The 25,597-nt window shown below is 43.2% G+C and overlaps 1 protein-coding gene and 1 long non-coding RNA gene across 9 annotated transcripts in view, besides 2 other annotated features; one reads left to right on the forward strand and one right to left on the reverse strand.

Moving 5' to 3' along the window:
- Window positions 524-1,069: an enhancer, noted in NCBI's record as "OCT4-NANOG hESC enhancer chr6:7532914-7533459 (GRCh37/hg19 assembly coordinates)". NCBI's record gives its function as "activates a minimal SCP1, AML or CMV promoter by ChIP-STARR-seq in naive H9 embryonic stem cells {active_cell/tissue: H9 hESC(naive)}" and the evidence as "EXISTENCE:reporter gene assay evidence [ECO:0000049][PMID:30033119]".
- Window positions 4,724-7,502: an enhancer, noted in NCBI's record as "VISTA enhancer hs2285". NCBI's record gives its function as "enhancer in: heart[4/4]" and the evidence as "EXISTENCE:transgenic organism evidence [ECO:0001131][PMID:17130149]".
- Window positions 8,294-10,926, reverse strand: DSP-AS1 (DSP antisense RNA 1). Of its 5 annotated transcripts, none has more exons than NR_183331.1 (2): window positions 10,889-10,926; window positions 8,294-8,896 (listed from the first exon to the last, which is right to left on the reverse strand). It is a non-coding gene; the product is annotated as a DSP antisense RNA 1 (long non-coding RNA). The 5 variants fall into 5 exon arrangements; NR_183328.1 differs by lacking the exon at window positions 10,889-10,926 and adding an exon at window positions 10,654-10,771; NR_183329.1 differs by lacking the exon at window positions 10,889-10,926 and adding an exon at window positions 10,614-10,771.
- DSP (desmoplakin) overlaps window positions 9,514-25,597 on the forward strand; it is a 45,044-nt gene continuing 28,960 nt past the window's right edge. For all 4 annotated transcript variants that reach the window (NM_004415.4, NM_001319034.2, NM_001008844.3 and 1 more), the window contains exons 1-2: window positions 9,514-9,928; window positions 23,561-23,663. In NM_004415.4, coding sequence (NP_004406.2) covers window positions 9,759-9,928; window positions 23,561-23,663 — 273 coding nt within the window. In that variant the 5' untranslated portion in view covers window positions 9,514-9,758. The remainder of the gene's footprint in view (window positions 9,929-23,560; window positions 23,664-25,597) is intronic.

Consider the following 25,597-nt stretch of genomic DNA (forward strand, 5'->3'; position numbering starts at 1 on the left):
GTTTTCAAAAGCCTCCTTTGTATGTTTTCTATTGTCTCAGAGACACATGAAATAAAAATATTGATTTTTGTTTTAAGAACACAGAAATTCCAATTTTAGATCATGAGATTATTTTTTCCTTATTCAGTAAAGCAAAATAAAAACCTGTTTAGAGATGATGGTGATGTTTCTTCTGTGTGCCTTGGTGGGAAAGGACTCCGAGTTGCTTTGTTCATTTCCACCTGAAGCCAAACTGCTAAGCAGTTAAAACTCAAGGAGCCGTCGGACAGGTTTAACGAGAGTGAAGTGTGCCGCTCCACACCCACCTTTGCAAGACAGAACTGCTTCACGGGTTTGATGAAACTGCTGTGGAACTGTGCTATAACTTCTTCCTATATTGGAAATGTTTCTGTCTCAAGCCAGCATGGTTTAAATGTTTCAGATTAAAATTCTGCAAATTAGTAAAAAATGCACACATTGAATCAGGTTAAATCTGCTGTCACGTATATTAACTTATTATTGGAGAAGAAACAATCCCTGGGGCTGTTCTCCTGATTTGCACGACTTTTTCTTGAATCCAGCTCTTGCTGAAGGGATGCTTTCTCATTTGGAAGTTAATTTATTAAATTGTGAGGAGCTGGTTAAAGAAAGTAGAAGTATGCCGGTTTTCTTAGAGTTTCCTAAGTATGAATGGCTGGTGAATTTCTCAAAGTTTAAGGAGGAAACTCTCCTGTTTCTGACGTTTGCAACCCACCCTTCATTGAGGTCTAAGGAAGGATTGCTGGGAAGATTCTACAAGGAATTGTCTGCACCCCGCAGGGCTGGATTGTTTTCCTAAACACCATTTGGTGGTGGTTGTAACTCCTGCCACTCAGTGATTGCCACTGCCTCACCCCTTCCTGTTTCCCATCCATAGCGAATGCTATTTGCCATTGATGTGAAAAGTTCTAGAACAGGAGTGGATCACTCGCATGGAAAGCTCCAGAACCGGCTGGGTGTGGTGGCTCATGCCTGTAGTTCCAGCACTTCGGTGGTATCGCTTGAGCTCAGGAGTTTGAGACCAGTCTGGACAACACGGCAAAACCCTGTCTCAAAAAAAAAAAAAAAGCTCCAGGATCTGTACCTTGTCACTTTCAGAGCCTTTTTAAAAAATCAAATGCCACCAGGAAATATTATGCACCTTTAAAAGCAATGCTAACAAGACATTTACACGAGGTTGGAAAATGCTCATGATATTATGATCAACTAAGAAGCTGAGGCCGGGCGTGGTGGCTCACACCTGTAATCCCAGCACTTTGGGAGGCTGAGGCAGGTGGATCACCTGAGGTCAGGAGTTTGAGACCAGCCTGGCCAACATAGTGAAACCCTGTCTCTACTAAAAATACAAAAATTAGCCGGGCGTGGTGGCAGGAGCCTGTAGTCCCAGCCACTAGGGAGGCTGAGGCAGAAGAATTGCTTGAACCTGGGAGGCAGAAGTTGCAGTGAGCCAAGATCATACCACTGTACTCCAGCCAGGGTGACAGAGCGAGACTCTGTCTCCAAAAAAAAAAAAAAAAAAAAAAAGAGCTGAATACAAACTTGTATATAACCTGACATTGGTTGGTTAAAAAGTTCATTAGGGGAAAAAACTGGAAGGAACCTTCCAAAAATATTTAGAATGATCACCTTGTCTGGTTGATAATTTGCTTTGCTTTTCTTTGCTTCTCTCCATTCCCTTCTGCCTTTTCTGAGTATTTTACAGCAAATACATAGACTTTTATAAGCAGGAGGAAAAAACATCCTAACTTCAGGTACATCCTTCTAAGCAAGCCTATTAATTGATTTGCTGTGTGAGCTCTCAGCTCCAATCTGGGCTTTGCCCTTTACAGACTTGGGCCTTGGCAAGTAATGCAGGTTCTTTCTCATGGCCTCACTTCTCTTAGCCAGTGTAGGATAAGATGAGGAGTTTGAATAGGGTTTCTTCCCTGTGATCTGTGATCTTACCAAGCTTCTGACAAAAAAAAAAAAAAAAAAGCAAAAACAAACAAACAAAAAAACAAAACAACCATAAAAACAAAAACAAACCAAAAAACCCCAAACTTTTTGGGACCCTAGATGAGGGGAGTCAGTTGAAACTTGAAACTAAAGATGACCTTCCCCCAGCTCCTGCTCTATTTAAATGATCACTTTCTTTTTTCTTTTCTTTGAGACAGGGTCTTGCTCTGATGCCCAGGATGGAGTGCAGTGGTGATCTCAGCTCACTGCAGCCGCTGCCTCCCAGGCTCAGGTGATCCTCCTGAGTAGCTGGGCCCACAGGTGCGCGCCACCATGCTAGCTAATTTTTGTATTTTTTGTAGAGATGAAGTCTCGCTATGTTGTCTAGGTTGCTGTCAAACTCCTGTCCTCAAGTGATCTGCCTGCCTTGGCCTCCCAGTGTTGGGATTATAGGCGTGAGCCACTGTACCTGGCCTAGATGTTCATTTTCTGTGTGTTGCTATTATAACCAGTGGGTTGTTTGATATTTTGTCTCCTGCTTTAAATGTTAAGATCAGTGAAGACAGAAATCTGGACGTTTTTCTTATTCTTTAGTCTCCCGTATACCTACACCTCTATCTGTAGCAGGGAAACAATGTATGTGCAATAACTAGCTCATGATGATAAGAAACAAATGGTTTATGAAATTTGTTGTTGCTGATGCCTAAGATTTTGAAAGGTGGTCACTTTGGAAACCAGGTTACATTTCGTTGGCATTACAATCATCCAAAGTCAGATCATTTATGTCTTAGTGTCCATTTTGATTTCATGATGTTTAGTATATGAATCTCTAATTTCATTTTTTCTTAACAATGGAAGCTACATTCAAACAAAACAAAACAAAACAAAACATGCAAATACATGCACTGTAATTTGAGGACACCAAGAAAATCACCACAGCTTTGGGAATACAACTAAAAAAAATAAGAGTAGCTGGATGTGGGAAGATCACTTGAGCCCAGGAGTTTGAAGCCAGCCTGGGCAACATAGTGAGATCTCTAAAAATAGATAATAAATAAATAAATTCATTAATTCAATAATAACTGTAATGCATTTTGGTGTGACTTCTGCAAAGCAGGCTTATTACTCTAGTGGAGGAAAATAACAATTGAGGTTGGGTGTAGTGGCTCATGCTTGTAAACTCAGCACTTTGGAAGGCTGAGGCAGGAGGATCACTTGAGGCCAGGAGTTCAAGACCCGCTTGGGCAACATAGTGAGACCTCACCTCTACCAATAATAAAAAAATTAGCTGGATGTGGTGGCACATGTCTGTGGTCCCACCTACTCAGGAGGCTAGGTGGGGGAATCGCTTGAGCCTAGACAGTTAGGGTGTAGTGAATCCGGATTGCCCCATTGAACTCCAGCCTGGGCAACAGAGCAAGACCCTGTCTCCGGAAAAAAAGTAAGAAAATAACAATTGATGGGATAATTTCTTGGTTTCAAGTTGATACCAAATCATTGCTCAGAAATGTGTTCTTTCATGACTGATGGGACAGGAATTTTGACATAATGGAAAGGGCATGAGACTAGAAACAGATGGAATTCTGCTATTTTAGGTATCAAGTAACTCACGGACGTTTCTTAACTTCTCCAGGACTCACTATTTTCTCTTTATTAAAAGGTGAGTTCTGGTTTATATAGTGCTTACATTGGGGACATGCTTTCCTGGACAGAGCACGTGTGGTCCAGGTGCAGCGGGTGGGAAGTGTCCTACAACCACTCTGGCACCACCATGATCTGTTTCCACTGGTGGCCATGCTCAGGGGGTTTCATTTGGAGAATGAGTTCTGAGGCTTTACCAGTTTTTAAATAACTGGTGCAAAAATGTTTTAAGCAAGCTTCTGTTTCTGAAATTCTCTATGGAATATAAATGTTGAGTGCCTTCAGTAAAGGATGATTAGCTATTCAAAAGTTTCTTCACGTAACCATTAGCACATTATATCTCCATGTGGTGTTTGCTGATAACTGGGTTTACTAGCAATAATCTGCATCTTGCATTTGTATATATATAAGTTTGAGTAAGTGTTCCAATCCTAGCATGTTCTATAGATTGAGAGTCCCTCACAATCATGATAAGCTTAGAAAATTACTTCCAAAGTATTTTCAAAAGGTAAACTTACTTGGCTGTTGTATTATATTTATTGACTGTGTGGCTTACCCACTAAAGTAAGTGGGAGTTATTGTTTAGCTTTAGATGTCACTTGGCCATGGGTGTGAGTGGCTCCTCTGTGGTCCATAGCGGTACTTGCCCTCACCGGGAACTTTAACCTCCAGCCTCGCATCTTGCAAATCTGGGTGCTACATGAAAACAGGATCAGGCAGGAAAGTATGGATGAATCCCCAATATCCATGCTATCCAATGAAAAGCAGTCAAAAACTTACTCTATTTTTTTTCTTTTTGGAGACAGGGTTTCACTCTGTCACCCAGGCTGGAGTGCAATCGCTCAATCTTGGCTCACCGCAGCCTCGACCTCCTAGGCTCAAGCGATCTTCCCACTCTAGTCTCCCCAGTAGCTGGTGTATACGGCCATGCCAGGCTAAGTTTTGTATTTTGTATTTTTGTAGGAAGGGGGTCTAACTATATTGCCCAGGCTGGTCTCAAACTCCTGGGCTCAAGTTATCCTCCTGCTTCGGCTTCCCAAAGTGCTGAGCTTACAGGCATGAGCCACCGTGCCCGGCCCAAAAAACATATTCTTAAAGCACAATGGATAGCACAATTTACCTGTGCCAAACACAAACCAAATGGCAACAACAATAACAATAAAAACTCATCACTTCAGTGACAAAAAATGAGAAGTTCCTTTGAGCTATTTAATTTCCACAAAGTTAAGTACCCTCCCCCAGCAAAAATGAAAAATCACTGCAAACAGACAAACTCCCCTGTTCCTGAATGACACTTAAACCAAGTAAACCAAAGATAGTTTGGGGTTAATGTATATATTTTACAAACATTTTCCTATTTTTGAAACGAGCTTTGTCAAACAGCTTTCTTCATTTTGACAATTTTAATTAGGAGAGACCAATCTTATTTTTGTGATAATTCAGATCCTAGATTCATTATTTCTGGAGGATTCTAATTTATTCAGACAAATGGAAGAGAAAAGAAAGAGTAAAATATACATATCCATTTTATTATTAAGATTTTAATTGTCTGACATTTTAACAGGCATTTTCTTTTCCTTCACATTATGGTTCCAATCCTAGCTTCTGCCTGTAATTTTGACTTATTAAAATACTACTCCTTGGCCGGGCACTGTGGTTCATGCCGGTAATCCCAGCACTTTGGGAGGCCAAGGTGGGTGGATTGCTCGAGCCCAGGAGTTCCAGATCAGCTTGGGCAACAAGGTGAAATCCTGTATCTACAAAAAATACAAAAATTAGTCCAGTGTGGTGGTGTGCGCCTATAGTCTCAGCTACTGGGGAGGCTGAGGCAGGAGGATGACTTGAGCTCAGAAGGCAGAGGTTGTAGTGAGCCAAGATCATGCCACTGCACTCCAGGCTGGGCGACAAGTGTGAGACTCTGTCTCAAACAAAACAAAACAAAACAAAAACCCCAGAACTACTCCTCTGTTAGGCAGAACAGTTATTTTAACTCATGGGCTATAAATCTTCTTGTGATGAAGAGGTATCATTTACCAACACAAAGATATAGAGAGTTCCCATGGGATTTTGAGCAAGTAAATGATTCTTCTTAATCTCACTGAAATCAAAGTGTCGTTTTCTTTTAAAAATCTGCTCTGAATATGACTGATTCGTCTTTCCTAACTGCAAGGTGATTTCTAAGGTCAGCCAGAGAGAAAGTTGCCTGTCAGTGATCTGTTTTATCAGTACAAGGGGAGCTATCTATGAGTGGCAGGGAAAAAATAGCTGACCTTAGGTCAGCCAGTGAAGACTCTGCCAGACTTTGGATTCTGATTTTTTAAACCAAGTTGTAAGAAAACAAGCTACTTTTAAACCTCTTTGCTGCGCTTTCAAAATTCTATAAATATACCTTCATTATAGCATACTTAATGTTGTATTGTAATTATTTGTTTTACTACTGCAGACTTTGATATCCTGCAGAAAAAGAGTCATGCTTTATTCATCTTCATGTGTCTAGCATTGAATCTGTTGTGTAACATGGTAGATGTTCAATAACTGCTTTCTAAATGAATGCATCTTAAATGTGTCCAAGAGGGAGGTTTACTGATTTACATGTGGGATAAAGACAGGAACATTAACGGTTAAAATTTCGCATCCAGCAAAGAACTTTTGGCTTAACAGGTGGTACCTTAAGCTTTATATGTTTCACAGTGTTCAAGAATGTTCACGTATTTTATCTCATTTGACCCTCACTGTGGATTTGGAAGGTTGGCAGAGCAAGTGTTATTTCCATTATACACATGAAGAAATTGAGCTCTTGCATAAGTAAATTGTAGCACTAAGATTATAACTATGGGCAAGTTATCCTCGCTCTTCACTGTGTGATGAGCCAACCTGGACAACTGATGTGTGTGTGTGTGTATGTGCATGTGTGTGGGTGTGTGTTGAGGTGGGGGGTGTTCCATCTGTCGGGCATGTCAATCTGTTTATTTTATCCTCTTATCTTTCTTTATCACCCTTAGAGAAAGATAAATGAAAGCCACTGTCTTCCTAGAGCAGGCATGTTTGGTAGCTGGAAGCCGTTCGTGTTCTTGGGGATGCCTGGAAAAGCCCAGGAAGCAGTAAGATGGGTGAGGAAGCAACGCAGCCAGAGGTGTGATTGGTGGCGTGGGCTCTTCGCCTCCTCCTCTGTTTTGCCTGCAGATTGAACAGTTTTGTGAGTCTGGGTGGTGTTTGGGTCTGTGTGGAGCCTGGTTCCTATGACCGTAAGGGGACCCTTGGCTAACAAGAGCTTTTGTTACCACTGGGGGGGTGGTTAATAGATATGTGGGTTTTTTTTAAAAGGATAATTCTACCGTGCAATTGTGTAGCCTCTTTATTACACATTAGGGAAGAATAATCCCTGAATTTTTTTTTTTTTTTTTTTTTTGAGACAGAGTCTTGCTCTGTTACCTGGGCTGCAGTGCAATGACACGATCTCTGCTCAATATAATCTCCACCTCCTGGATTCAAGTGATACTCGTGCCTTTGCCTCCCAAACAGCTAGGATTACAGGCGCCTGCCACCACACCCAGCTAATTTTTGTATTTTTAGTAGAGATGGGGTTTCATCATGTTGGCCAGGCTGGTCTCGAACTCCTGACCTCAAGTGATCCACCCGCCTCTGCCTCCCAAAGTGCTGGGATTACAGGCATGAGCCACCGCACGGGCCCCTGAATTTCTTAAATCAAAGTTTTACTATAATATATTTAAGGGCAGTGACTGGACCCTATTTATCTTTGTATGTTGCAGAGTATTTCCATATCCTAGGTTATAATTATTTGCTGAACAAATGAGATGCATAGAGGGAAAACATCCTAAATGAAATGTTGTACATTATGCACTGACATTTTCCCTCCATGCATGTCTTTCTCTCCTCCACCAATGGATATTATGGGCTGTTTGTGCAGAGGCTGACTTCCAGCCATTGATTCTGTTTGAGAAAAACCACCGTCTTGTCTATAGATCAGTGTTTGTACAGGTTGAGCATCCCTAATCTGAAAATCTGAAATCCAAAATGCTCCCAAATCCAAACTTTCTGAGCACTGACATGATGACCACAAGTGGCGAATTCCACACCTGACCTCATGTGATGACTTGCAGTCAAAGTGCAGTCAAAACTTTGTTTCATGCACAAAATTATCTAAAATATTGTATAAAATTACCTTCAGGCCATGTGTATAAGGCATATAGAAAACATAAATAAATTTCATGTTTAGGCTTGAGTTCCATCCCCAAAGATCTCTCGTTACGTCTATGCAACTATTGCAAAATCCAAGAAAATCCAGAATCCAAAATATTTCTGGTCCCAAGCATTTTGGATAAGGGGTACTCAATCTGTATAATCATTTAAACACTTGACCACTTTGGTTTTATTAAAGATTCGAGGAAATTGAGACTACGATGCAAATTATTGGTTGTGCTAACAGTGATAAACTTTTATCTCATTATATGTGTTTACTCCTTGAATTTAAGACGTTCAGCTGTAAAAAGAAAAAGAACAAGACATTTTGTCAAAAATTATGCCTAAAGGGTCAAGTTGTCATGAGAAGTGCTATAATACGACAAATTTTAGAAAGTCCCCCCCACTCCCTTTACAACATAAAAATGTAGTTTTTTATTTTTGTTTTCAGTTCATAAACATTTTGGAAACGCACTGTATCAGAAGGTAATTAGCGGCATTGTTTGGAAAGATGAAAAATTTATTAGAAAAGATCTTTAAATGGCTTTTACTAAAGCGTCATTTAACAATTTTTCATATTATAGAAACAGCTTTTCATGGATGGTGTGACTGGGTCTGTATCCAAACCCGGTTCGGTTCCTGGAGCCAACGGCGTAGTTAACACTCAGCCTCTTGCAGTTAACACTCAGCCTCTTAACTGGGAGTGGCCCTGGAGCAAGTCGCTGGAATGTTCAAGCTCCGCGTCACTCATCGGTACCAAGTTGATGATCTCTGCCTAGGGTTCTTCGCCACCCTCAGGCTCAAGTCCCAGGAGGCCTCCTCCGCTGACTTGGGTGAACAGCTCTGAGTTCCGGAGAGGGTTCGGTCTGCGGAGAAGCGCGCGAGAGACAAGCATCCTCAAGGTTCTGGTACAAAATTTGGAAAATGGACCTGGCGTTGAAATCTTTACTCCTCGTTTAAAAAGACCATCGAAAGGGAAAAAATAAAAGAAATTGCAGTTTATATTTTTGTTATCCCATGAAAAATTAGCTGCAGTGTTTTCCTCTTCATGCCAAAGAGATTAATATTTACGGTGAAGACTTTTCCAGGAAGTCGTGGTTTTCTGTAAAAAAAGGTTTTACACATCAGAAATCGGACTTCTGGGGCAATTTCCTGAATTCCTGGAATAAAACAAAACAAAAAAAAGCCCCCAAACAAAACTCTATCATCTAAAGCGTTCCCTCCTCACTGTGGTCCTAGTCAATGCGTGGTAGGTAGCGTTTCCAGTGATCAACAAAAGTAAATATTTGACCAGTAAGTCTCCAATCGAGAGGCCCCTCCATTCCAGCTATTTCCGCCCGGGGACCGAGGAAATCCTCAAAAGCCGGGCCACGCATTCCCAGCCCGAGAGGCCCCAGCGCAGAGCGCAGCAGCCCCCGCGAGCGCAGGTCCTCCCCGCGGTGGCTTCGCCCAGGGCGCTTGGGTCTCGGGGACCCCGCCCCCGCCCCGCCCGGTGTTACTCAGGCCTCGGTGGCGCAGGGCGGAGTCGCGGGCGGCGGGCGCAGGTGGGGAGGGGCGGCCGGAGCGCGTCGGTGACACCCGCGGGGGGGCGGGGAAGGCGCGGCGGCCGCACCCCACCCTGGGAAGAAACCGGCCAGGTGTGGCCTAGGCGCCCAGTGCCAGCGGGGAGGAGACTCGCTCCGCCGCCGACCAACACCAACACCCAGCTCCGACGCAGCTCCTCTGCGCCCTTGCCGCCCTCCGAGCCACAGCTTTCCTCCCGCTCCTGCCCCCGGCCCGTCGCCGTCTCCGCGCTCGCAGCGGCCTCGGGAGGGCCCAGGTAGCGAGCAGCGACCTCGCGAGCCTTCCGCACTCCCGCCCGGTTCCCCGGCCGTCCGCCTATCCTTGGCCCCCTCCGCTTTCTCCGCGCCGGCCCGCCTCGCTTATGCCTCGGCGCTGAGCCGCTCTCCCGATTGCCCGCCGACATGAGCTGCAACGGAGGCTCCCACCCGCGGATCAACACTCTGGGCCGCATGATCCGCGCCGAGTCTGGCCCGGACCTGCGCTACGAGGTGACCAGCGGCGGCGGGGGCACCAGCAGGATGTACTATTCTCGGCGCGGCGTGATCACCGACCAGAACTCGGACGGCTACTGGTGGGTACCTGCCCGGAGAGCGCGGGCTGCGGGGCTCGCGGGACAGGGAGGGACCGTCCTCCTCTGGACGACTGGGAGACTCGGGTCCCGAAGGTGGAAAGGTTTTTTTGCCCCAGGTCCCGAAAGAACTTCCCGGCCGCGCTGGGAGCAGGACCGGGTGTCCTGACGCGTGCGGGGACAGGTTGGCCCCTGTCCTGCGAACAGGGACTCGGTCGTACCTTTCTCCCCTCCCGCGAGCCCGGGCGGGTGGTCAGAGGGGGCGTCGGGCCCGCGCGGGGCTGTCCCCTGCCTGCTGGACACGGCTGCAGCCGCCTTTGTCCCAGCCCGCGAATGGGAGGTCAGGCGAGGTGGGGCTGCGACCACAAAACCCAACCTCTCCAACCGTAATCAAAGTAAAAGAGGAAAGGAGCGGGGCCCCGGTCCTGTCTGGTGGCCGAGTGGTGCTCGGGGCTCCGCAGTCTCTACCGGCTCACCCCCAATCCCCAGTAACCCCGAGACCACGACTGCAACGACTCCTGGACTCCTCGGCCACCCAAGGACGTTTGTATCAAGGCTGCGCGTCCCGGCGGCGCGGGGTCCTGTCCCGAGGAGGCGCTTCGGCTTCCCCTGTCCGGGAAACGAAACTTCCCCGCCGGGGCGGCTGCCGGGCCCGGGTCTCGAAGTTCGGCCGGGACGTGCCTGTTACCTTCGGTCGTCCGCGCCGCAGCCCCCGCGGGCGAGCGCACCTGGGGCCCTGCCTCTGAGCCTTTTGTTTCCTCCTTTTTAAAAACACCGGATGAAAGACCCCAGTGTGCCTTGGATCGCAGAGCGCCGGCCGCATGTCTGCTTTGATCCAGAATGTGTGGGCAGGGGAGTGGGGGGGTGGGAGAGGACGACGCTGGGGGCCCGCCCTGGCCTAGGCGCCCCGGGAAGACCCCCCGGTGAGAGGGTCAGCTTCTCCGGATCCCAGCGGAAACAGACCGAGGGCGTCATTTGGGTGGGTGGGGAAGAGATCCTGTCCCTGCTTTGACCGGGTCTCGGGAGCTGGACTCTAGATGCCCACGTGAGCCGTGCGCGTTTTGCAGCCCGCCCCACCTCCCCGCCCCCTGCTAGTTGTTCCCACGTCGGGCTTTTGGGAAAGAGGCCCTGAGCGCCGGGACGTTATTTACCAGGCGTTGTGGCCCTAGGCCTGGGAGGAGCAACCTGAATGCGCTCCAGGGAGTTTTGTTTTGCAAGCAGTTTTGAAGGCAGGGACTACTCGAGTTGCAACCTGTTTTCTGCTTAGATTCATTTATTTATTTATGGGGCATCCTGAAAATCTATTTTCGCTTTTTTTTTTTTTTTTTTTTTTGAGTTAGCAAAGAATTGTCTCAATCTTGGAGTTCTTTGTTTCCTGAACAAAATGTGTCTGGGGATTTCCAGGGAAAATGTGCCAAGCAATAGAAGGAATGAAAACTTGGGTTTTCATTACATTTGTTTTAAAATTTTGCCAGCCATTTAAATCTGAAATTTAAATTTTCTCCCGCAGTCCTCCAGGATTTGAGATGCACATCCTTTAAATGTGTGGGTTACACACAGTTTAAATCCAAGTCAGAATAGAATGCGAAGGACTCTTTAGTAGCTCTTTTTGGCGTTTTCATGAACCAAGTATTTATTTTGATTATTATTTATAACTATGCTTTTGCTAGCTTGGATTTCTTATCTTTTAAATAGACAATAATCAGTACTATTAATCGAATATTTCACTCCCTTGGCTTCTTATACCTTTTGTAGGGGAGTAAAACTTTAATAAATTAAGTGGTTAATGAACTGCATCAAGGTACATGTTTTATTAGGATTCCCCATTGAAACATTTAATTTTGGGCAGGCTCCATGTTTTTTCCTTGTGTAGTATCATCCCGTGCTCTGTTTTTCCAACTTAAAGCCTACTTACAAACTTGTCAAGTCTCACATCTCTCTGGGAAGGGGAAAGAGACCCAAGTGAAAAATTACCTGACTTTGAGGAAGGATGTTTTTTCTTCTCATTAATGTTGCTCTGCCCGGCAGCAGGGCGTCAAGCTCAGGGCTTGAGTCGGGAGGCGGTCATTCTTTCCGGGGATCCTGGCAATGGAGGTTCCTCTCGAGCCTGACCCAGCCTGCAGTGGTGCTACTGACTACAAAATAGCCCACAAATGCTGACTTCTGCGTTTTCAAATAATAGCGACCGCCTGAAGGCAGGGCATGTCGCAGTTTTTCTGGTGGCATTCTGGTTTTGTGTGGAGGGATATGTTTGGCTGTGGCGTGCACTTTGTAGAAGCAGGGTGCCCTCTGTGCCCAAGGGAGCCACTGCTCTCTGCTAAGTGAATGATGATTAAGAATTTCATAAGTATTTTTCTGACCCGAAGGTTTTCTAAATAAAGGTTTTTGTGGTTTTCTTTTCTTTCTTTCTTTTTTTTTTTTTAGCATGAAAACTAGTATAAAAACTATTGGTTGACTTTAAACTCATTTATTTCAAAAACTGCTACTTTATGGCTGAATTATTAATAGATTGGTGATTTTTGAGATGAGTGTTTTGTATCTAGCCCTTCCCTGAATAAAGAAATTTGAATGTGTGGAGGGCCCAACTCTTAGTTTTCCTTTGAAAATGACTTTAAAACATCTCTCTCTCTCTCTGTCCTTTCCACGAACAGCACTTACCCGTTTTTAGGACAGTATTAGATCTCATTGTATCCTAATTCCCTCTTTTTCCCCCGACCACCTGCCTGTTCTTTGTGTCTTTGTTTTAGATTGAATGGAATCTGCAACTACTTAATTTTGTTAACATTTGGTAAATGTTACAACCTTGATAATGAAATAATAGACATGTACATGTTTTGAAATGTAAATTTTGGATTCTTCTTGGATAGGACATTATATTAATACTGTTTTCAATTACAGCAGAATTACTCTAGTCTTATTCCTGTCATTAAAACAAATTATAAATAGTGAAATTTGTTACCAAAGTAACAAAGTCTCACAGTTAGATCTTTCTTTCACCCATCAAAGGGTGAATTTGTGGGAGGATTAAAAGCAGAAAATAGTCATTAAGTTTCAGAAATATGTGGTTATAATATTAATGCTTATTTTTCTTCAGATCTCATGATTTCAAAACTGAGATACGTGTGATCATTATTTCATATACATTTTAAAGTTAGTCTTAAATTAGGTTTTAAGAGAAGCTTATTTCTTACTATGAGACAAACAGGTCAATTTGCCTGAATTTTAGAGCGGGGGGACCCCTAAGGATCACTTAGCCTAGGCAGAAACCCCACACGCACACTTCAGAGACAGGAAGCTGAGGACGTGCCGAAGATCCTAGAATCCACTTAGGGCTGGGTTGGCCTGAGGACCCAAGGATCCTCACCTTGGTTTTCCCTGTGCCTTCACAGCCTGACTTTTAGAATGGACAGGCCTGTAATTACACCATGCAAGTATCTCAAATTCCATTAATTCCTTAATTCAGCAAGTATTTACCGAGCATTGACTGCATTCTGTGTTAAGTGTCAGGGGAGATCAAGGTGGAAATCTATAGCCTTGAAAGGAGTGTAGGCCCTTCCAAGGAAGATAAGTACACGAAGACTAGCACGCAAAAGCGGAATGCACAGGAGGGGTGTACGTGACTTCAGAGACTTCACAAGGAGGTGAGAGAACATCTGTCGTGGGGGCACTGGGAAGACTTTATAAAGGAAGTGGTGTCGAACTAGACTTTGGAGTATTTCAGCTGTGTCAGGATGGGTGGGCAGAGAGCCTTCCAGAGGGAGAGAAGAGCATGAGAAAAGTCTGCGAAGCCTGTGGAGTGATCTCCTTTTAGAGCATTCTCTCTGAGCAGGGAGGCAGTAAGATGAAAGGAAGAAGCATCCTTTTTTGACCAAGGCATTGGAGACCTTGAATGCCCCGGAGAGGGATTTGGATAGGCAGAGGGAAGCTGGTGCAGGTTTTCACTGAAGCCATTGAAAGTCTCCTCCATTGGAGGAGCAGGGAAGTGAGACGATCATAACTGAGCTTCTGGACTGTTTAGGCGTTGGCTTAAGGAAGCCATTGCACCAGTGAAGGAGGGAGGGAATGAAAGTCTGAACCAGGGTGAGGGCAGTGGATGGAAAAGTAGGTATTGCCAAGGTGGAGTGACAGCTTCAGCTAAGAATTGGATGCGAGAGACAAGGGAGAGTCTGAGAAAACAGGCCCAGAGCTCGAGTGACTCATAGCGTAGATAGTCTAAACACTTTTCTGGGAAATTATTGCAAAGCAAGATTTAGTTTAGCTTAATATACGGCAGGTAACATTTACATGGTTATTAAATTTAACTTGTATATTTTATAAAAATATCAGGTCTGTGGTTAATAATAGTTACCATTACCCAGCAAATACCTGTGATGTGCCTTGTATAGGATGTTTGTTATCTCAAGCCTCATAACAAACTTCCCAGTTTACAGATGGGAAGCTGAGGTTAAAATATTTAAATGGCTTGCCTAAGGTCACACAGCTAGTTAAGTTGTTAAGCTAGATTTGAATCCAGTATACCACAATGACGCAAGAGAAGATTAAACCTGCAGTGTGAGAATTCACCTTTTCTACTTGTAAACCCTTTTCTATCTGAGTTATTACTTATTTTTAATCTGTTGAATTCCTCAGTCTGCGTTCCTGTGAAATATTTCATAATCATTGTATTCTTTCATTAATACTCTTGTAGAGTTTCTATCTGCTTAGGAAAAAAGAAACTCAATTTGATTCTGCATTAAGCCAACTAATTGTTAGTCAGATCTATTTAATGGGACAATACAGCTTTCAACAGTCATTTTTTTCTCTAAATATGGGCATAATTTCATTGTTCAGGTAATGGAAGTGTCTTGGAAAGGGAAAAACTGCTGATGCCCCTGATGCCTCAGTGCTGACTTCTTAGGGTGGAGCAAAGGAGGGCTTGGGTGTGAGACTTGGAGAGTGTGTCTTGACTCTCAGCTAACCAGTCTTTCCAGACCAGGAGGTTCTAGAAGGAGTGGTTTCAGTCTGGAGGCCTTGTTGCTGCAGCTGGGAGCAGTGCCTCACCCCTTGATTTTCTCCATCTCCCTCCCGCTGGGCTGGTCCCAGTGGCCCTGCCGCTTGAAAACGTTCAGATGTGGTTCTGATTTTGAAGTCACGGCCCCACAGATCCTAAGACTCAGACATGAGCTGCTCATTTGAGGTGACATCTTGTAAAATACTAGTGCAGTCCAATAATTTATGGCTCACCACCGACACCTTGGGCTGGAAGGGCTCATGAATGTGAAATCTACATTTCATGAAAATGAAGACAGTTTAGTGAGAAGCTGCAGCAAACAGATCAAAGGTTCTGCTTGGAATTACATTTTGTTTGTTTGTTTGTTTGTTTTGAGATGGGGTGTTGCTCTGTGGCTCAGGCTGGAGTGCAGTGGCATGATCATAGCTCACTGCAGTCTTGACCACTCAGGCTTAAGTGACTCTCCCACCTCAGCCTCTCGAGTAGCTTGGGACCACAGGCGTGCGCCACCATACACAACTAATTAAAATTTTTTTTTTTTTTTTGTAGAGACAAGGTCTCGCTATCTTGCCCAGGCTGGTCTTGAACTCCTGGGCTCAAGTGATCCTCCCACCTTGGCCTTCCAAAGTGCTAGAATTACAGGCAAGAGCCAGTGCACCTGGCCTTTGAATTTTCTTACCCTCAATAAGTTTCTTTCATGCTGCTAAAGTGTATCACTCTCTGTGAATTGTCTCAGTTATTTTTGAGTCTTGTAGGGAACCTGAGGAACTCCTGAAATGCCTCACACTTAATACCCAATCCATTTCTTCCTTTTCCTCTTTCTCTTTTTTTTCTTATCACCCCGCCTCCATTTTGCTGCAGGACATCCTTAAAGTTATGGACTGGGGCAAAGACAAAACACAAAAACGAAATTTCTGCCGGGCGCGGTGGCTCACGCCTGTAATCCAGCACTTTGGGAGGCCGAGGTGGGCGGATCACAAGGTCAGGAGTTCCAGCCCAGCCTAGCCAATATGGTGAAACCCCGTCTCTACTAAAAATACAAAAATTAGCTGGGCGTGGTGGCGGGCTCCTGTAGTCGCAACTGCTCAGGAGGCTGAGGCAGAAGAATCGCTTGAACCCGGGAGGCAGAGGTTGCAGCGAGCTGAGATCATGCCACTGCACTCCAGCCTGGGCAACAGAGCGAGACTCCGTGAAAAAAAAAAAGAAAGAAAGAAATTTCAGAACCATAACAACAGCAGCAGCCTCCGCAAGTAAGAGCTATCACTAAGTGAGGTCTCCGCCTCTGCAGTGCCCCTCTGAGCCTCACCTCAGCCCCAGGAGGGGGGTGTTCTACCTGTCACAGAGGCAGAAGCTCCAGGCACTGCCAGTGGATGTCACTTTAAGTTGCTCAAGGTCACAGGCTGTATAACTGGAAGTGGCTGAGCTGGGCGTGGACTCCAACTGTGCCCTACTTCAAAGTCCTTCTGAAGTTAATGATATGTGATCAGTTTTCCACTATCCCACAAACACAATCTGCCAAACACACAGTGTGAAAATCGAGAAAACCGCCTGGAAAAGAAGCAGAACTTTTATTAGAGTACTGTTTCTGTAGCTGCTGGGCGAAGACAAAATGCAGGATCAAAGGAGGCTGTCTTTCTAAAATCTATAGAGACAAAAAATCCACCATGTTTGCTCACTGCTGGAGTGGGAATGGGGAGGGGAGAGCTGTGCTCTCTGGTTGAGCTTTTGAAATCAGGGTAATGAGATGAGCCATAATACCCTCAGATGGGTCTTTTGTTTGCCTTTGTTTTTCTTCCACTTTACTAAGCCAAACAAACATTCATTAAGTACCTTCTGTGTGCCGAACCTTATTTATGTTGTTAGGTTAAGTGTTTGTAGGAGTCCAAGATGACTAAGACATGGGACTTTGCTCTCCAGGAGCAGGTAGCCAGGTGTGTTTAAACTAATGCAAGAGAGGAGAGGATGCAGAGGTGTGATATGGAAAACTCCTTGCAGAAGGCTGTAACTTTTGAAGTTCTGAACTTTTGAAGGATGGCTAACACAGCATTTCAGCTGATGTATATAGAGAGTGTTTAATGAATTTTTTTTTTTTTTGAGACGGAGTTTTGCTCTTGTTGCCCAGGCTGGAGGGCAATGGCGCGATCTCGGCTCACTGCAACCTCCACCTCCCAGGTTCAAGCGATTCTCCTGCTTCAGCCTCCTGAGTAGCTGGGATTACAGGCATGCGCCACCACGCCAGGCTAATTTTGTATTTTTAGTAGAGACGGGGTTTCTCCATGTTGGTCAGGCTGGTCTGGAACTCCCGACCTCAGGTGATCCTCCCGCCTCAGCCTCCTGAAGTGTTGGGATTACAGGCGTGAGCCACCGTACCCGGCTAGTGAATCTTAGAGGTAAAGTATCATCCTTAAATGAAGTATTAAAAATATATTTTTCTTTTTATGAAAGATCCTTTCAAGAAACTCAAACAAAATAGTATATGTGAAAAATGCTTTGAAAATTATAAAGAGCTAAGCAAATAGGCCTCACGGTCAATATTAAAGCATTATATAACTATCATAATTCCTAACACACATTTCCTGAGTTTTTCCTAGGTAATTATTCTGTGAACCTGAAAACAGAGAGACATATGAGTCTTTCTGGCATATGTACAAGAGCCTGTGTTGACTGAATGAACAAAAGAAGAGGAGAGAGAGGAAGGGAGAGATGGAAAGAGGAAGGAAGGAAAGGAGTCCAGTTAGAGAGAAAATATATAAACAAAAAGAAAGGCAAAGTTAGGGGGCATGGTCCAAGTGTCTAATGAGCAACATAGTTATTATAAAAGTATTTTTATAAAACAAAGAGAGTAACTCTTCATTTAAAAACTTTGTTTTTGCCTATAATGTCCCTCTTTGAAATATTTGTCTTGTTTTTTTGTGTTTTTTCTTTATCTTTTTGAAAGTATGAACTTTTTTTCCTTTATCTTTCTGAATATTTTTATTTTTTTAAGACAAGGTCTTGTTCTTTCGCCCAGGTTGGAGTGCAGTGGTGCAATCTCGGCTCACTGCAGCCTCTGCCTCCCAGGTTCAACCATCTCATCTCAGCCTCCCATCTCAGCCTCCCGAGTAGCTGGGACTTACAGGCGTGTGCCTTCATGCCCAGCTGTTTTGTTTTTGTTTTTTTTTCTGTAGAGATGGGGTTTCGCCATGTTGCCCAGGCTGATCTTAAACTCCTGGGTTCAAGCAATCCGGCGGCCTCTGCCTCCCAAAGTGCTGGGATTACAGGCATGAGCCACGGCACCCAACCTTGTCTTGTATTTTTAAAAATAATATTTTTGGCAACACATGTAAAGCTAATGCCTTAGGACAGCTAGTTTTGGAGTCCTATTTTTAAAGAAAAATGTTTTTTTAAAGGTAGTAAAATAAAACCTTGAAATCTTGGTAATATTGTTCACATATTCATGTGGTCCGTCTTTGGATTAGAATCCAGAACTTGTTTTCTTTTTAACCACCGATGAAGGGCTCTCTATGCAAATATTTGGAATCCTTACTTGTTTAAACAAGTTTTAGGATGAACTTAAAAAAAAAGTATGTGCAGGTAGGTTCTTTGTAATATGACTCATTTATCTCTCAGAAGAGTTAAAAACTTTTAAGGATGAGTTATTTTTTTCAAGGGCACCTATTAATTTTGGTTTGGAAGTCAATATTCTTTTGATAAATTTGACCCAAATGAGTTGTTTTCTTTTTCTTTTTTTTTTTTTAAAAAAGCACATGACATCTGCCATCTTCTGTGCCACTGAAATGGGATTTAAAAATCGAACTTCATGGCTTGTTAATTTAATTCCTAACATGATTTGAAAATCTTTCAACCCCTAACACCCATATGTAGCAGTATTAAAAATTTCTTTGAGGGTAGGGATTTAAAAAAATGTGTATACGCTTGTAAGTACATCATTTTAAAATTATTTCTTTATCCATTATAGAATTTTGCATTTTCCCAAACTGCACTATATGAATTAAATTTAATTCAATTAGCATGAATAAATTTATTTACCATGAACTTAACATAGACATTTGTATTATTTTCAGTAAGGAAGAATGAGTTTGGTCATTTCCTAAAATTGAGTTACAGAATGAATGAGGTGAAGAAATCTTACATACCATTTAGCCCAACAGATGGAGATAGAAATTTCTGAGATTAAAAAAAAATCTAAAATTGTGTAGTCAATAACATATATATATATAATCTGACTTAGAAAGGTTTGAATTACAGCTTTTAAAAAAATGCATGTTTCCTGGCTGGGAGTGGTGCCTCCCATCTGTAATCCCAGCACTTTGGGAGGCCAAGGCGGGTGGATCCCTTGAGGTCAGGAGTTTGAGACCAGGCTGGCCAAAATTTGGTGAAACCCTGTCTCTACTAAAAATACAAAAATTAGCTTTGCGTGGTGGCAGTGTGCCTGTAATCCCAGCTACTTGGGAGGCTGAGGCAGAAGAATCACTTGAACCCAGGATGTGGAGGTTGCAATGAGCTGAGATTGTGCCACTGCACTCCAGCCTGGGCGACAGAGTGAGACTCCTTCTCAAAAAAAAAAAACAGGCATGTTTCCTGAAGCAAGCTCTCCTGGCTCTCGTGCTGAAGAATCCAGTGCTACACATACAGCTGGTGTATGTCTGACATCAGACTGACCCGATGGGTCGAAATCATTTCCGCTGAACTTCCTCCCTGATTAAGTACAGCGAGTTCTGTGTGGATTCTTCATTGGGCTAAGACAAGCAAACTGACCTGGCAAGGTGGATTCCCTATACCTTAGTTGGCCTGAGTCTCCCTCTATCTTGTTTTGATGGACCGAGCCATTCACAAGGTATATACCTAGTTCCTTTTCTCGCCTCGGTCTGTTTCCAAAGGGAATTCTTGGCCACACCTAAGACTGAAGTTGGATTCTTACAGATGAAAGATAGAAGTAGACCTTGTTTTAAGGATCAGACGCGGTCTTGAAAAGTTGTGTATATGATGAAATTTCGTTAATCAGATCACACTTCCCAATAGACAAATAATGATATCAAAGATTCTTTATTTCATTGTTCCAACACTTAAGCTTTTTATTTTTTCAACCCTTCAAAGGATTAGATTTCTGTGCATTCCCCATTCCTATACAGTTGTTAATTTATTTACTAAGATGCTGTGCAAAACATGTAAGTTTTTTAGTGGATATCAGGAACATATGAGACAGGGCGCGGTGGCTCACGCCTGTAATCCTAACACTTTGGGAGGCCGAGGTGGGCAGATCATTTGAGGTCAGGAGTTTGAGACCAGCCTGACCAACATGGTGAAACCCCATCTCTATTAAAAATACAAAAAAAAAAAAATAGCTGGGCGTGGTGGTGCATGCCTGTAGTCCCAGCTACTCCAGAGGCTGAGGCAGGAGAATCACTTGAACCCAGGAAGTGGAGGTTGCAGTGAGCCGAGATCATGCCACTGCACTCCAGCCTGGGTGACAGAGCAAGACTCCATCTCGGAAAAAAAAAAAAAAAAAGAACATATGGAAATGGAAATCCTTTAGAAAAGCACGAAGAATTTATTTGGTATTATTAGCAGCATATAAAGTTACCTGTTGTTTTTTTTTTTTTTTAAGTTCAAATATGGGTAGGCAAGGGAAGGCAGGCAAGGTGTCTTCTCTTTATAGGATGTCAACTGATCTCTAGAGAAATAGGAATGTCTTCTAAAACTAGGGGGAGGGAATTAAAAAACAGAGCAAACCCACCAATGTTTTAAGCCAATGTTTGGTTGCCTTACCTCCTTTATCCTGGATGTAATTCGTTTCTAACTGTGGTATAACTAATCAGTCTAGTTCTTGGGTAAAAAGAAGTTGGCAAGTTTTATATTTTGTGGTCAAATGAATTTGATCTCATAAATTCACTTTTAAAAATGTGTATGTACACTTCGGTGCGTTCATTCACAATTGTGTTTGTCCTCCCTGTCTCTGTTTTTTAATACATTTTAATTCTAGAATAGTTTTAGATTTGCAGAAAAGTTACAAAATAGTACAAAGTTTGTGTATACCCTCACCCAGTTTCCCATGCCTCCATCATTTTATTTTTTTTTAACAGCGGGGTTTTATGCTGTGTTGCCCAGGCTAGTCTTGAACTCCTGAGCTCAAGCAATCCTTTTGCCTTGGCCTCCCAAAGTGCGGGGATTACAGGCGTGCCCCACCCTCATCTTATAGCTCAGTTTGTGATTGTTTTTACAGTGGCACACATTATTAAATCATTTAGGAAACTCTGACTTTCCATTGTGCTAAGAGACAACTCTTTCATTTATCTGCTTGGGACTGGCATTCTTTGTGGGAATCACCTTCGGAGCCAAATTGCTGAACAGAATTTCTTAATGTTTCAGAATAAAGGTATTCCTATGCCCCTTCAATGAAGAAAATAAAGATAATTACACAGGACCTTCCTAATTTTTTAATTCATCCTAGGGTTCTAAGTGAGGTTGCTGGGCTTCTTAATGTTTTCCTTTGTCTCTTGAATTTCTTTCCTCTGTTTGATAACAGGTACGTTTTGGAAGGTGTTCTAAGTCAGTTGGAATTCTGCACAAGTTAGGACAACAAATGTGATCTTGCTTGTATCTCAGCAGTATGAGAAACGGACCTCATTTCCTGTATAATTCGGAGTGGAAGACAGAGACTGGTTGCATTGGTGGTGGGTGGGGGCAGTCTTGGTTTCGAGAGCTGGATGGCTCTGGCACCACCTCCCCTGGGCCTGCCTGGAGGAGCCTGTGTCTTCTTCTGGGAGTAGTTCCCAGGGAGGTCTGGGCTCCTCACCCACATTCATCTAGTCCTGGCTTGTTGGGGAGCCTTGCCTGCAGGGAGGAACCCCAAATGGGTGGCCAAAAAAGAAATGCTTTCCCATGGTGAGACAGTGCAGCCAGGTGCTTCGGGAGAATTCCCACATTACTGTGATCTTATCCCATCTATGCATAATGCAACCATTGTTTGTCAAACATTTTTTTTTAAACAGTGAAATTCTTTCTTTAAAACACACACACACACACACACACACACACACACACACACACACACCCAGTTGGTTAGACAGGCATCAGATAAAAGCAGGCTCAGGCTGGCCCTGGCTGAAGGTAGGAAGAGCCAACTTCTTGTAGCACATCCGTGAGGACTTTTCACAGACATTAAATAATCACTTGGTCTGCTTTAAATCTCTCTGAAACCAAACTACAGTAGGCTGTGCTGTGGCATAATATATCTTGGTAAATTTAAAAGCCAGACTTTGGTTATACCTTGCTTGAAGAGCAAATGAAACTCTGTCATCTCGTTCTTTAAGATACAGACCATCTGCAACATTTTCCGCCAACACCACCGTTGTTTTAAGGTTTCTGCTAGGTGTCTTCCAGAAAAGTGCCTCATTTGAAATGTACATTGAATGAGCTTCATTGTAGAGAAAAATAGGTATTCTAGGAACATCTTGAAAGGAGAATGGGTTTGTTTTGCGATAAAGACAATGTATTTAAATTTTCCATCACTTTCTTCACACCATGATTTTTAAAAAAAACATTATTGTCTTTTACAGGAATTACAGAAAATATATATATATATTTTTACAGACAGGGTCTCACTCTGTCACCGAGGCAAGAGTGCAGTGCTGTGATCATAGCTCACTGTAGCCTCCAACTCGTGGGCTCAAGTGATCCTCCCACCTCAGCTGCCTGAGTAGCTAGAGCTACAGGCATGCATCACCATGTTTGGCTAATTTAAAAACAATCTTTTTTTTTTTTGTAAGACAGGGTCTTGCTATGTTGCTCAGGCTGGTCTCCAACTCCTAGACTTAATCAGTCTGCCTGCCTTGGCTTCCCAAAGCACTGGGATTACAGGTGTGAACCACTGTGTCCGGCCAATATTTTTGTAGAGTAAGCTTTTTTCTCCTCTCCTACCTTTCCTTCAGCCCGACTTGCCAGTGAAATCTTCATGCTCTGTGTCTGACACCATGAGGTCTTCCTGCAGAGGGACTTGTGGTGTTGGGGACTGTCATTAGGGACCGCTGTGGGATGAAGCAGGAGTGAAGCTGAAATAGCTGTGTGTCATTGTCATTGCCAGAAGTGTGTTTTTATAACTCAGAGAGATATATTTCTGGATTGGATCCTGGACCTGGGAGGGGAAAACTTGCTGTGAATGACATTATTGGGCTAATTGGTGAAATCTGAACAAGTTCTATAAATTAGAAAATCATTTGTGTCAATTGTAAATTTTCTGCTTCTCATCATTGTATTGTGGTTATATATAAGTGAATGTTTTTATTCTTAGGAATGATATGCTAAGATATTTGGGGGTTAAAAAGCCATGTTCTCAAATGATTCAGAAAAAAATAATATGTATACATAGATAAATATATGCTGAAATATTTGGGGGTAGAAGGGCATGGTTATTCTCAAGTGGTTCAGAAAAAATAATATATACACACAGATAAATACACACACATCTATGGAGAGGGGAGAAGGGGGATAAAAGAAACACAACAAAATGTTAACAATTGGGATTCCGGGTAAAGGGTCTCACAGGAGTGGTTTTGTCCCGTTTTTGCAACTTTTGCAAGTTTGAAATTATTTCAGAATTGAAATAGGTTATTTGATGTCTGGTTTCTCTGTGTTTGCCTCCTTAGTCAAACCGGCACGATGTCCAGGCACCAGAACCAGAACACCATCCAGGAGCTGCTGCAGAACTGCTCCGACTGCTTGATGCGAGCAGAGCTCATCGTGCAGCCTGTAAGCTTTCCCTGTTCCCATCGCTTCTCCCAAAGCCTTGGCCACACCCGACTGTCCTCTGGTTAGCTTCTGCTGGCCGGGGCCTATTCACTGACCTCTTTCACGTAGTGTTTAGAGACACGCTTTTTCAGAACAGACTACAGAGAGATGTGTGTCTTCTTAACCTATTTGTAATGTTGGTTTAACAATGAGAACCAGCTTTCAGACAGTTCCCCGTCCCCCTCCCAACAAATGTTTACACTACAGATTGCCACCTTTTTGGAAATAAAGCAATTTATGATTTACGTGACTTTTTGATACTTTCCCTTCTGAGAAATGCAACCTGGCATGTTTCTGTTCCTGGGTTGGGATGGATCTTCATGTGCACCATCAATTTAGTATGATTTTTTTTTTCAGAGAAAATGACTATATTGAGATAACAATTCTATCTGAGAAACAGAAAAATGGGGAAAAATAGGCAATGGAAAATTGAGGAGAAATGGTAACATTTCTGAGAACCTTGCGATGTTTCTTAAGATAACTGAGACATCCTAGGATCTCATCGAATCCAGATTAGAAATCATGGAGTTCGTGGTATTTGCTGTGTGAAGTCTTCATTTTAAAACACTAGCATTCACCTTTGCTCCGAGTTTGCTAAAAACAGAATAGAGAATGGTGGGGCCGTAGCCATCTTTTCTATCCCTTTCCTGAGTCACTGAATCTTTTCAGCGAAGTCTCCCTAATGCCGACACTGGTATCAAGGTTACATCTGGCATCTGCCTCTTCACAAAGTACCCCTTCTAAATAGCCTACATTTGAAACAGATTTTAACCAGATGAATTTACGGGCTCTGTTTAGATAACATTTTAATATTCTAATTTCTTAATTTAGATATTGTGTGGGTTCTAGTTCTGAATTTCTTCATCCAGTTAAAAAAAGAATGTCACGTTAGTCCATGTTCAGAGATATTTGGGGCTCAGCAAACTAGCTTGGCTCCAGTTCTAGTTGTTTCGAGTGTCTGATTTGAAACATACTCCTTGAAATGTTCCTCGCAGTGGCCCGATTCCTTTACACAAAACAAAATAGCAGACACCAGTGACTTAATAGTGAACATACACACACACACGTCATTTGTAGTGACTATGGATACGTTTTACATGTAGCTCTGAAAATTTTGCATGGCCTCATGTTCTCAGTTTATTTTTGCTTATATGCATCAACGTGCAATAAATAAAAACAGGTTAGGGAAATAGTGTCATATTTGCTAACATTTCTGTTTAGAGAAAAGAGGTTCATTTGACTAAAGCCAAGTAAAAGCAGCAAATATAAAATTCCAGAGAAAGATCAGTAGGTGTTACTGAAGCAGAGGAGGAAGCTTTCTGTTTTTGTTTTTCTGAATACAAAAGCCTTTTTAAATTTTGAAGTAGTTATAGACTCATAAGAAGTTGCAAAAATAGTACAAAGGGGTCTCTACCCAGCACCCAGCTTCGCCCAGTAGTGACATCTTATATGATTATAGCGCATCATCAAAACCAGGACATTGATTGGCCCAATACAGTTAACCAGGCAGAAGCCTTCTTTTTAAGAACTAAAACGTTGGCCAGGCGTGGTGGCTCACGCTTGTAATCCCAGCACTTTGGGAGGCCGAGGCGGGTGTATCACTTGAGGTCAGGAGTTCAAGACCAGCCTGGCCAATGTGGTGAAACCCTGTCTCTATTAAAAATACAAAAATTAGCCTGGCGTGGTGGCACATGCCTGTAGTCTCAGCTACTCAGGAGCCTGAGGCAGGAGAATCACTTGAATCCAGGAGGCAGAGGTTGCAGTGAGCTGAGATCGTGCCACTGCACTCTAGCCTGGGCAACAGAGCAAGGCTCTGTCTCAAAAAAATAAAAATAAAAATAAAAAAAGAACTAAAACATTATGTTCTCATAAGGTATAGGAAAAACTCTGTGCAT

Source organism: Homo sapiens, chromosome 6 (genome assembly GCF_000001405.40).
Source record: "Homo sapiens chromosome 6, GRCh38.p14 Primary Assembly".
Taxonomy (NCBI): Eukaryota; Metazoa; Chordata; class Mammalia; order Primates; family Hominidae; genus Homo; species Homo sapiens.